This window comes from Homo sapiens, chromosome 7, assembly GCF_000001405.40.
Source record: "Homo sapiens chromosome 7, GRCh38.p14 Primary Assembly".
In the NCBI taxonomy this organism is placed as follows: Eukaryota; Metazoa; Chordata; class Mammalia; order Primates; family Hominidae; genus Homo; species Homo sapiens.
The window spans coordinates 68,176,295-68,189,067 of record NC_000007.14 but is presented as its reverse complement, the minus strand read 5'-3'; the positions used below and the strand labels follow the sequence as shown (position 1 = coordinate 68,189,067).

Here is a 12,773-nt window from a genome sequence, read left to right as displayed (position 1 = left end):
CGGCCTCAGCCTCCCAAATAGCTGGGATTACAGTTGGGAGCCACCATGCCCGGCTAATTTTTATATTTTTTAGTAGAGATGGGGTTTCACCACGTTGGTCAGGCTGGTCTTGAACTCCTGACCTCAGGTGATCCAACCACCTCGGCCTCCCAAAATGCTGGGATTGCAGGTGTAAGCCACCTCGCCTGGCCTATATTTTTAATTTTTTAAATTGAAAAATAATAATTGTACATATTCATGGGGCAAACAGTAATTTTAAAAAATGTTTATATATTTAAGGGTCAGAAGTGTAGGTTTCTTACATGCATATATTACATAGTGATGAAGTCTGGACTTTTAGTTCAGCCATTGCTAAAATAGTAATTTGGGTACCGTTAGTAATAGTGCCCAGGCCAGGCTAGGTGGCTCATGCCTGTAATCCCAGCACTTTGGGAGGACAAGACGGGTGGATCATGAGGTCAGGAGATCAAGACCATCCTGGCCAACATGGTGAAACCCCATCTCTACTAAAAATACAAAAATGAGCTGGGCATGGTGGTGTATTCCTGTAATCCCAGCTACTCGGGAGGCTGAGGCAGGAGAATCACTTGAACCCGGGAGCTGGAAGTTGCAGTGAGCCGAGATTGCGCCACTGCACTCCAGCCTGGGGACAGAGTGAGACTCCGTCTCAAAAAAAAAAAAAATAGTACCTAAATAGTAATAGTAATAAGTAATTTTTCAATGCTTACTCCCCGCAACATACCCCCTCACCTTTTTAGGCCTCCAGTGTCTATTATTCCACATTTATAAAACAAACCTCTTAATGTGTGTGTTGGGAAGGGAGAGGGTGAAGACATATTTATGTCCATGTGTATAAGGACACAAATACGTCCTTACACACACACAGACACAAATACATCTTATTGAGATTATTGAGAACAAAAAAAGACACCTAAAAATAAAAGGAAAAGACTTCCCACACTTTCAAGCACCTTTCTCGGGACTTCCCTATATGACCAAGGTGGGCAGATCACTTGAGTCCAGGAGTTCGAGACTAGCCTGGACAACAAAGCAAGATCCCATCTCTAAAAAACAGAAGAGAGCGAGCGAGAGAGAGACAGAGAGAGAATTCCCCTATATGATGTTGTTTTGCTAAAATGAGGGAGTGCATTAAGAAAGTGGAAGGTCTGGGATTCCCAAAACAAAGAATCTAACATCAGAGAGAGATGAATGCTTTCACCAGGGTGATGATGAAAGAGGACCTCAGGAGACAGCCGTGCCACAGGCCTCCCAATCTGCTGATGCAGATGGGAGCAGCTCAGGAGGGAGACTCTAGCCTCAGGCACACAGATGTAAGAAGGGGGAAAGTCCCCGAGGAGTGAAGTCACTTGTGCAGACATCCTGAGCTATCGCGTTAAGCATATGGAAAAGCACACGGAGGCTCATGTTGAGAAATATTTCACCAGAATGCTTTGGCAGAAAACAAAGAACCCCGTAGAGCCTCATAGCCGCACCTGAGACAGTTTCCCAAATGGTCCCAAAATGTGAGAAGAAAACTACAAAGCCAAACATTAATATGCATGTCTAATTAAATGTTTACAGATCTTTTATTGATGTTGTGGTTGAGATGGAGTTTCACTCTTGTTGCCCAGGCTGGAGGCTGGAGGGCAGTGGCTCTATCTGGGCTCACTGCAACCTCCACCTCCACCAGTTGATTCTCCTGCCTCAGCCTCCCAAGTAGCTAGGATTACAGGCGTGTGCCACCACGCCCGGCTAATTTTGTATTTTTAGTAGAGACAGGGTTTCTCCATGTTGGTCAGGCTGGTCTCGAAGTCCCGACCTCAGGTGATCCACCCGCCTCGGCCTCCCAAAGTACTGGGATTACAGGTGTGAGTCACCACGCCAGCCCTTGTTTACAGATCTTAAGGTGACAAACCAACTGCAACCCACTGACCTACATACGTACACGTGTGTGTGTGTGTGTGTGTGTGTGTGTGTGTGAGTGTTTATTGCAGGATATGGTACATTTTTATATATCATAGGATGAAGCTTCCAAAAATAAGTTTGGTTGGGGGCAAGAGAAAGTAGTTAATGGTTACAAAAAAAAAAAATAGAAGAACAAACAAGACCTAGTATTGCATAGCACAATAGGGTGACTATAGTCAATAATAACTTAAGTGTATATTTTATAATAGCTTGAAGAATGTGGTGCAGGGGCTCATGCCTGTAATCCCAGCACTTTGGGAGGCTGAAGCGGGTGGTTCACCTCAGGTCAGGAGTTCAAAACCAGCCTTGTCAACATGGCAAAACCCCATCTCTACTAAAAATACAAAAAAATTAGCTGTGCATGGTGGCACGTGCCTGTAATCCCAGCTACTCAAAAGGCTGAGGCATGAGAATCGCTTGAAGCCAGGAGGCGGAGGTTGCAGTGAGCTGAGATCGCACCGCGCACTCCAGCCTGGGCAACAGAGTGAGACTCCGCCTCAAAAAAAAAAAAAAAAGGAGAAAAAGAAAAAAAGATTGCCTGATATGGTGGTGCATGCCTGTAGTCTCAGCTATTTAGGAGGCTGAGGCAGGAGGATCACTTGGGCCAGGAAAGGTCAAGGCTGCAGTGAGCCGTGATCATGCCATTGCACCCGGTCTGGGTGACAGAGTGAGACCCTGTCTCAAAAAAAAAAAAAAGAAAGAAAGAAAGAAAAAAAATCCACTTGTTTAGGAAAGGAGTGGTAGGGGCAGTGGATTTTATGTCTAGGAATCAGCACACGGTGTTAGGAGAGGCTGCATCTGAGTCCAGGCCTGGATGTAGTCATTGGTTGTATGGGATCTTTGCCAGCAAGTGCTCTGTTTCCTGGTTTCTTCTTCTGATCATTCCCGCAGTTTCCATCTTCTGAGGGTGTGAGGGAGATCCAGTGAGATAATGGGAGTAGAAGTGCTTTGAAAAGGACAGCGTGCTGTCCAAGGGCATGGCTAGCATCTCCATATTCAATCACCTCCCACCGGTTGCTGGAAGGGTGGGGGGGTGGGTAATGGACGTGGAAGGCCCTTGTAAATTACAAAGCGCGAAAGAGATGGAGAATGATTAGTAGCAAGGCGTGATTATCTATGTGGCTCCGATAACAACACCATTTTGCCACCTGCTGCCCAGACATTTCTATAACGGCACGACTTTTCAAAGACATGAACTGTGCATGCTGGGGTTTGCCCAGCTGTAAAATGAGATATCTCCAGGGATGGCAAACACAGCCAGCTCTCATGGATCCATGGAAATGTTTAGCCCGGAAATGAGATGCGGAGGGGCAGGATCTCAGGCTTTAGAGAGGATATGAAGCCCTGCCAAGTAGAAAAGGGTTGGCTCAGAGGATAGAAACAGCAGCCGGATTCAGTGGATGTTTTAGAGAGGCAGATCGGACTCAGGACATAGTCTTAATTACTTAATTACTTAAAACACCTCATTACTTCCTTAAATCCCTTCTGCCTTTAAACGTGTTTCCTAGGCCAGGTGCGGTGGCTCACGCCTGTAATCCCAGCACTTTAGGAGGCTGATGGAGGTGGATCACCTGGGGTCAGGAGTTCGAGACCAGCCTGACCAACATGGGGAAACCCCGCCTCTACTAAAAATACAAAAATTAGCCGGGTGTGGTGGCAGGCGTCTGTAGTCCCAGCTACTTGGGAGGCTGAGGCAGGAGAATTGCTGAAACCTGGGAGGCAGAGGTTGCAGTGAGCCGAGATTGGGTCATTGCACTCCAGTCTGGGTGACAGAGTGAGACTACGTCTCAAAAACAAAAACAAAAAAAATGTGTTTCCTCTTTTTTTTTGGAGTCTCGCTCTGTCGCCCAGGCTGGAGTGCAGTGGTGCAATCTTGGCTCACTGCAAGCTCTGCCTCCCAGGTTCACGCCATTCTCCTGCCTCAGCCTCCCAAGCAGCTGGGACTATAGGCGCCCGCCACCACACCCGGATAATTTTTTGTATTTTTTACAAAATTTTAGTAGAGACAGGGTTTCACCATGTTAGCCAGGATGGTCTCGATCTCCTGACTTCCTGATCCGCCTGCCTCGGCCTCCCAAAGTGCTGGGATTACAGGCATGAGCCACCGCACCCGGCCGTGTTTTCTCTTTTAACCCTCTTAGCTGCTCTGGGAGATCATGTCTTTTTTAATCATTCCCATTTTACAGTTAAACATACCAAGACTTGAGGAATTATGTCCAAGGTTCCAGCATTGAACATGAAGAACGCAGGATTTATTGGCACGTCGTGATAACCGTAAAGCCCACGCTTCTACTGCAGTGTTGAGTTTGCGTGGTAAGTGCCACAGTTGTGCAGGCGTTGTTTTCTGTGTGGTTTTCTGAATGGGTGTTTTCCATCATGCCAAGTGTATAAGTCCAGGTGATATGGTTTGGATCTCTGTCCCTACTCAAATCTCACGTGGAATTGTAATCCCCAGTGTTGGAGGTGGGGCCTGGTGGGAAGTGATTGGATCACGGGGATGGATCCTTCATGAATGCTTTAACACCTTCCCTTTAGTGCTGTTCTTATGACAGAGTTCTCCTGAGACCTGGTTGTTTCAAAAGTGTGTAACATATCCTCCCTCTCTCTCTTGCTCCTACTTCAGCCACGTGAAGTATCTACTTATCCTTTGCCTTCCACCATGATTGTAAGTTTCCTGAGGCCTTCCCAGAAGCTGAGCAGATGCCAGCTCCATGCCTCCTGTACAACCTGCAGAACCATAAGCCAATTAAACCTCTTTTATTGCAGGAGTGTGAGGGGGAGGCCACATTGAAAATACTGGTGGATCCCAGTACTTCCGGAGGCCAAGGCAGGAGAATGGCTTCAGGCTACAAGCTCAAGACCAGCCTGGGCAACATAGCAAGATCCTGTCTCTATAAATTTTTTTTTAATTAGACAGTCATGGTGTACCCTATAATCCTAGCTACTGGGGATGCCAAGGCAGGAGGATTGCTTGAGGCCAGAAGTTCAAGCCCACCCTGGGAAACATAAGAAGACCTTGTCTCTAGAAAAATATACAAAAATTAGCCAGTCATGGTAGTGTGTACCTGTAGTTCCTGCTACTCAGGAGGCTGAGGTGGGAGGATTGCGTGAGCCCTGGACGTTGAGGCTGCAGTGAGCTATGATCGCACCACTGCACTCCATCCTGGGCGACAGAGTGAGATCCTGTCTCAAAAAAAGAAAACAGGTTCCCAGATCCCAGCCCAGACCAGCTGCATGAGAATTCCAGAGGCAGGAGCCCAGGAATCTATTTTTAAAAAGTTCCCTGGGTGATACTGCTGAATAATCACAACAAGAAACTGCTGCCCTCCAGCATCTATTTAGCAAAATGCAGAACACCTGGACCGTTCTTAGACTATTTGTTTCTTAGTGATTGATGTATCAATCTAGCAGCAACTCACATGTCCCCAGGCCAGTCACACCTGCCTTGAAGCTGGAATGGTGGCGATACCAGCTCAGGCTCTGGAAACCCAAGAGAGCCCTCCCGTCCTACCACCTCCCCCAAGCGGTGCGATCAGTGCACAAGTGGCTGTCTCACATGAGCTGGTGGGTGACCATCCTCTTGGTGACTACAGAGTGTTCTTTACCAGACTATTCTCAGCAATAACTGGGTTGCAGCCTGTTCGCCATGGGGCTCCCACTGCCACTCCAGAGTCAGCTGCGTGACTCAGCACCGGGCTTGCCATTGGACGAACATGCCACTCACTCTCAGAAGCCATTACAGCAAGGGCTGCTTCTGCTTTCTCTGCCTTGCATGCGAAGTCAAGGGTATCTGCTCCATATGGCACTGCATAATTTACAGCACAATTTAACTCCTGCTTATATAGCCTAGTCTATGCAAAGCTGCCATTTGCATATTTATTAATTTGCAAAATTAATGCCATTTTCTTAGTCCCTTACAGGATGTGTTGCCCGTCCCTGTCTTTGAATTAATTTTAATCTAAGGTGGAAACATTTGTTAAGGGAGTTCGCTCAGGCCAAAGTAATCAAATGCTTGGTAATCAAATGCAGGTAGGGGATGGGGAAGAGGGAGCTAACATTTATTGAGTGCCTAACTCTGCCAGGCTCCAAGAAAATTAATGGTGCACAATGCGTGTCAACAGAAACATCCTCATAATGTGATATTCTTGCTGTTTTATAAATAAGAGTACTGAGACTCAGAGAGAATAAGTAGCTAGCCCATTGTCACATGACTAGTAAGAGGCAGAGGCTTTGGTGGCCACAAAAGTCAAGAAGCCAAATTTGGGCCAAATGTGGTGGCTTACACCTGTAGTCTCAACACTTGGAGAGGCAGAGGCAAGAGGATTATTTGAGCCCAGGATTTCAAGACCAGCCTGGGCAACATAGCAAGACTCCATCTCTACAAAAAAGAAAATAAAATGAGTTAGGCATCATGGCATGTGTTTGTAGTCCTAGCTACACAGGAGGCTGAGGCAGGATGATCACTTGAGACCGGGGGTTCAAGGCCACAGTGAGCGGTGATCACGCCACTGCACCGTAACCTAAAAATAAAAAAAACGGAGAAGCAGGGTTTTCACCTACACTGATTTTCTTTAGTGAGAAAGGCCATTTCTCTGCATAATTAATTTTTTTCAGAGAGTACTCAACACTCCAGGTATTTCAATGCTCACAGATATTACACATAATGTCACATAACACGACACGACATGACACTTTAAGCAGACAGAAATGGGAGATGTATATTGAGAAGCTTTCTCCACTTATTACCAGCATTTGAGCAGTTTTACCCAAGAAAAATAATGATTTTGTCAAAATTCCCACCCGATGGCATTGGGAAGGTTTCAACAGTAAGGCCAGTCACTTTTTTTATTTTTTTCTTGAGACAGGGTCTCACTCTGTTGCCTGGGCTGGAGTGCAGTGGCACGATTTCAGCTCACTGCAACCTCGATCTCCCAAGCTCAAGTGATCCTCCCACCTCAGCCTCCTGAGTAGCTGGGACCACAGTGTGTGCCACCATGCCCGGCTAATTTTTGCATGTTTTGTAGAGACAGGGTTTCATCATGTTGCCCAGCCTGGTCTCAAACTCCCGGGCTCAAACGATCCATCCGCCTTGGCCTCTTCTGGTGTTAGGATTACAGGTGTGAGCTACCGCACCCAGCTACTTTTCCTTTTTGAAAATTCCTATTCTCAACCCTTCCTGACTTTCAAGCCATTAGCCTAAAGGTTAGTTACCACCATTAGCTAGCTTCTTAATATCATTCTCTGAATTACTGTTATCTATCCTTCAGTCTGTGGCCATGGTCTTTATCTCAACAGTGACATGGCCTGCCTTAGCCACCAATATCCTTTCTCACTGTCTGTAGATTAGATCTCTCCAAGGATTTTGTTACCTTTCACCACTCCTTTTCTTCCCTTCCTTCCTTCCTTCCTTCCTCCCTCCCTTCCTTCTTTCTTTCCTTTCCTTTCCCTGTTTCTTTCTTTCTTCCTTCCTTCCTTCCCTCCCTCCCTTGTTTCCCTCCCTCCCTTTCTTCCCTCCCTCCCTCCCTCCTTCCTTCCTTTCTTCGTTTCTTTCTTCCTTCCTTCCCTCTCTCCTTCCTTCCCTTTCCTTTCTTTTTCCTTCCTTCCTTCCCCTTCCTTCCTTCCTTCTTTCCTTCCTTCCTTCCTTCTTTCCTTCCTTTCTTCCTTCTTTTTCTTTTAAGGCAGGTTCTTCCTGTGTGACCAAGGCTGGAGTGCAGTGATTCAATCATAGTTCACTGCAGACTCGAACTCCTGGACTCAAGTGATTCTCCCGGCATAGCCTCCCGAGTAGCTGGGACCACAAGTGCACATCACCACAGCAGATACTTTTTTGTATTTTTTGTAGAGATGGGGTCTTGCTATGCTACCCAGGCTGGTCTCAAACTTAGTGGCTCAAGTGATCCTCCCACCTCAGCCTTCCTAAGTGCTGCGATTACAGGCAAGATCCGCCATACCCAGCCTCACCACTCTCTCATTCAAGTTTCTCTACTCCTATTTTTCCCTACTACACGCTCTCAGTCTTGTTCCTTCCTTTCTGAGTGCTGTTTACTATGTTGTCATTTCAAGCTCTTCCTCCTTACCCTGCTTGGAGAAATCCCCTATAACTTATAAATCTGTATCTTGAATCCTGCTGAGAGGATCTTGAACATCTGACAACATCCAGCTGTTTACCAGACGTATTTCTGTAAGAACGTCAGGCACAGCTAATTCAAATTTCCAAACCCTCCTTTCTCCTTTCCCCTGAAAACTTATTTTTCCTTCTGTATCACCTATCTTGGTATATTGTGTCATATATCTCTTCCTTACAACTCGAGACCTTTCTCACTTTGTCCATTCCTTTATCCCTAACCTCCAGTGATCAACTGATTATAAAATATTATCAAGTTCTTCCCAACGTACTTCTGAAATCTAGCTCTGAAACAACTTCCAATTCTATCCCCTGGTTTTGTTCCTCCCAATCTGCCTCAAGTATTATTATTATTATTATTGAGATGGAGGCTCGCACTGTCACCCAGGCTGGAGTGCAGTGGCGTGATCCCAGCTCACTGCAACCTCCGCCTCCTGGGTTCAAGCGATTCTCCTGCCTCAGCCTCCCAAGTAGCCGGGATTACAGGTGCGCACCACCATGCCTGGCTAATTTTTTGTATTTTTAGTAGAGATGTATTTTTAGTCTCAAACTCCTGACCTCAAGTGATCTGCCCGCCTTGGCCTCCCAAAGTGCTGGGATTGCAGGTGTGAGCCACAGCACCCAGTCTATTTTTTTCTTTAATAGAGACAAGTCTCACTATGTTGCCCAGGCTTGTCTTGAACTTCTAGGCTCAAGTGATCCTCCTGCCTAGGCCTCTCAAAGTGCTGGGATTATAGTCATGAGCCACCATGCCCAGCCAAATATTCTCTTCATTGTGTCATTGCAATGGACTCTCCACTTCTAGGGTCTCCTGCCTCCAGTCCATCCTCCACACCAGCATCACCAACATTTCTAAAACACAGCTCTGGGCCAGGCGAGGTGGCTCATGCCTGTAATCCCAGCACTTTGGGAGGCCAAGGTGGGCCTCACTTGAGGCCCGGAGCTTGAGACCAGCCTGGCCAACACGGTGAAACCCCGTCTCTACTAAAAATACAAAAATTAGCCGGGCATGGCGGCAGGCACCTGTAATCCCAGCTACTCGGGAGGCTGAGGCAGGAGAATCACTTGAACCTGGGGGAACAATGTTGCAGTGAGCTGAGATCACGCTGCTGCACTCCAGCCCCGGCCATGGACCAAGACTGTGTCCCAAAAACGAAAACAAACAAACGAAAAAAACAACATCAACAACAACAACAACAAAAACACAGCAGTGATCATGTGACCATTTTGCAGGACATTTTCTCTATTAACTCTCCAATACCATTGGAGGGATCGGAGCCCCTCTGGGTTTTGTGGGGGGTGGGGAGGAGTTTACACTCCTTGAAGCAAAAAACAACAACAACAAAAAACGAGTCTTCTTATTTACTCACCCACAGCCCTTGGGACAGAAGACAGAATAGAGGCTGAGAAAATTGCTTGTTGGAAGAATGAATCCTGGGTCTGCTATTACAAGAAACTTCTCAACTTCTAGCCTTATCTCTCACCACTCCTTCCTTAGATCCTAAGATTCAACCATCCCTGACATCAACACACCATGTCCTGTGCTTTGTGCCACCTGTTTACCTTTGTACATGGCATTCCCACGTGGTAGAATCTCGCTCCCATACAATCTGTTATACTTGGAACCCCCTTCCTTTATTCTCAAAACGTAATTCCCTTTGAGAAAGTTTCTCTGACGTTTTCCTGACAATGAACCAATCCTTCCTCCATGCAACCATTCTTTTGTTTGTCTCCAGGTTTGAGAGAGAAAAAAAAATATGTATCTACATGAGTAAGCTAAGATTCAGTTTCCAAAATCCTCAACCAAGCACACACAAGGCTTAAGTCATTTTCATGAAACAGAGAAAAAGTCCAGGCTAAGCAACATTTTATTGCTATTTGAAACTTTTGTTCTCAAGCAGCAGCATAGTCACCAAATAAGTTGTCAGAGATTTTATGTGTCGCCAGGATGTGAACAAAGAACCAAGGCTTTGCTAGGCGCAATGGCTCACGCCTGTAATCCCAGCACTTTGGGAAGCTGAGGCGGGTGGATCACGAGGTCAGGAGTTTGAGACCAGCCTGACCAACATGGAGAAAACTCGTCTCTATTAAAAATACAAAAATTAGCCAGAGGTAGTGGTGTCCACCTGTAATCTCAGCTACTCAGGAGGCTGAGGCAGGAGAATCGCTTAAACCCGGGAGGTGGAGGTTGCAGTGAGCCGAGATCATGCCACTGCACTCCAGCTTGGGTGACAGAGCAAGACTCTGTCTCAAAAAAAAGAACCAAGGCTCAGTAGCCACTGTTACCTCTTTCCCAGAGGACTGCAATTCTGGAGTCAGAAGACCTCATCACTCTGGGATGAGCCAAGGCAATGACCAATGAATCAGCTGGGTGTGGTGGCTCAAGCCTGTAATCCTAGCACTTAGGGAGGTCAAGGCTGGAGGATCACTTGAGGCCAGGAGTTTGAGGTCACGAGTTCAAGTCCAGCCTGGGAGACACAGGGAGACCACGTCTTAAAAAAAATTTTTTTTTTTAGAGATGGGGTCTCGCTGTGTCGCCCAGGCTGGAGTGCAGTGGTGCGATCTCAGCTCACTTCAATCTCCGCCTCCTGGGCTCAAGCGATTCTCCTGCCTCAGCCTCCTGAGTAGCTGGGATTACAGACACACACTACTACACCCAGCTAATTTTTTTGTATTTTTGGTAGAGACAGGGTTTCACCATATTGGCCAGGCTGGTCTTGAACTCCTGACCACAAGTGATCCACCCGCCTTGGCCTCTCAAAGTGCTGGTACTATAGGCATGAGCCACTGCACCCGAACGTCTACAAAAATTTTAAAAATTATCCCCATGTGGTGGCACACACCTATAGTCCCAGCTATTTGGGAGGCTAATGGGAATGATCCCTTGAGCCCAGGAGTTCAAGGCTGCAGTGAGCTATGGTTGCACCACTGCACCAGCCTGGGCAACAAAGCCTGTCTAAAAAAATTAAAATACAATTTTTAAAGACATGAAGGAAAATACTTCTGGCATGAAAATATTTCTCTAGAAGACCTGGAATAGCTGGCCTAAGTGCCCACACCGAGCTGTTCTTTGCCTCTGGACCTCACTTTACTGGGCAACTGGCCCTCTGTTTTCTTGAGATGGAGTCTCGCTCTGTTGCCCGGGCTGGAGTTCAGTGGCGCGATCATGGCTCACTGCAACCTCCGCCTCTCGGGTTCAAGTGATTCTCCTGTCTCAGCCTCCCGAGTAGCTGGGACTACAGGTGCATGCCCCCACGGCCAGATAACTTTATTGTACTTTTTAGTAGATTAATTTTAATTTTTTAATTTTAGTAAATGTACTTTTTAGTAGATTAATTAAGATAATTTTTTTGTACTTTTTAGTAGATTTTTTGTACTTTTTAGTAAATTATTGGTCAGGCTGGTCTCGAACTCCTGCCCTCAGGTGATCTGCCCGCCTGGGCCTCCCAAAGTGCTGGGATTACAGGCATGAGCCGCCGCACCCGGCTGGGCACCTGGCTTTCTAAAGAGAAATGGTGGGGGGAATGGCAGGTCTATTTGTTTCCATCCAAGTAGAAGATGGCCTTAGTGCCCCAGAGCCAAACACGAAGCAAAGAGGAGAGAATCCAAAAGCATAAAATGTTGACGGAGAAAAAGCTTCGGAAGCCAAGGTTTATCCTTACTTTTGACATCCATCCCTTCAGTCATCTGTCCCTTCATTCCACAAATATTTACTGAATATCTGTGAGTTGACTCCTGCCTTGGACATGGGCCTACAACATGATGAGGTCTTGAGCTCCCCCTAGAGGCCAATAGCAATTCCAAGGCGGGGAAAGCGGAGAGGAGACTGCAGGCCAATATAGAAGACAGTCATTATTAGATCATTGCCCTGGAGAGGGAGGGCGAGGCTGCACGAGGACCCAGAGAAAGGAGAGGGGGCTCGCTCAGGCGCATCAGTCCAGGAGGCCCCTTCACGATGATCTTGTAGGAAGAAGGATGTTGTAAAGTTATTAGAGCAAAGCAAACCATGAGAGCTGTGAATTGCCTATTTCATCATTAGAAGATAGACTGGAGGAAAGGAGAGAGGAAACTGACTTTTCCTGAGTGTCTGTTTTCTGCTGCTGCTGTGTAGCATGTTTTAAACCCATAAATCATCTTTAAAATGCTTACTACTGGCTCAGCGCAGTGGCTCATCCTTGTAATCCCAGTACTTTGGGAGGCCGAGGCCGTCAGATCACTTGAGGTCAGGAGTTCGAGACCAGCCTGGGAAACATGGCGAAACCCCATCTCTACTAAAAATACAAGAGTTAGCTGGGCGTGGTGGCAGGCACCTGTAATCCCAGCTACTTGGGAGGCTGAGGCAGGAGAATCGCTTGATCCCCAGAGGTGGAGGTTGCAGTGAGCCGAGATTGTGCCACTGCACTGCAGCCTGGGCAACAGAGTGAGTAAAATAAAATAAAATTATGGCCTAGACTTTGGCCTGTAATCTCAGCACCTGGGGAGACTGAAGCAAGAGGATTGCTTGAGACTAGAAGTTCAAGACCAGCCTAAGCAACACAGGCAAACCCATCTCTACAAAAAATAATAATAAAAAAATCAGCCGGGCATGGTGATGCACATCTGTAGTCCCAGTTGCTTTGGAGGCTGAGGCTGGAGAATCGCTTCAGTCTAAAAGATTGAGGCTGCAGAGAGCTATTACTGTGCC

The 12,773-nt window shown here is 46.8% G+C and overlaps 1 long non-coding RNA gene across 2 annotated transcripts in view; it reads left to right on the top strand.

Annotated features, from left to right (window-relative positions):
- LOC105375341 (uncharacterized) overlaps positions 1-12,773 on the top strand; it is a 170,147-nt gene that overhangs the window by 130,627 nt on the left and 26,747 nt on the right. Inside the window, exons 4-5 of one of the 2 annotated variants that reach the window (NR_187906.1) lie at positions 4,152-4,278; positions 9,466-9,934. This is a non-coding gene — a long non-coding RNA (uncharacterized LOC105375341). Of the gene's footprint in view, positions 1-4,151; positions 4,279-9,465; positions 9,935-12,773 lie in introns of those variants that run through there. The other variant, NR_187905.1, reaches the window with a different exon arrangement.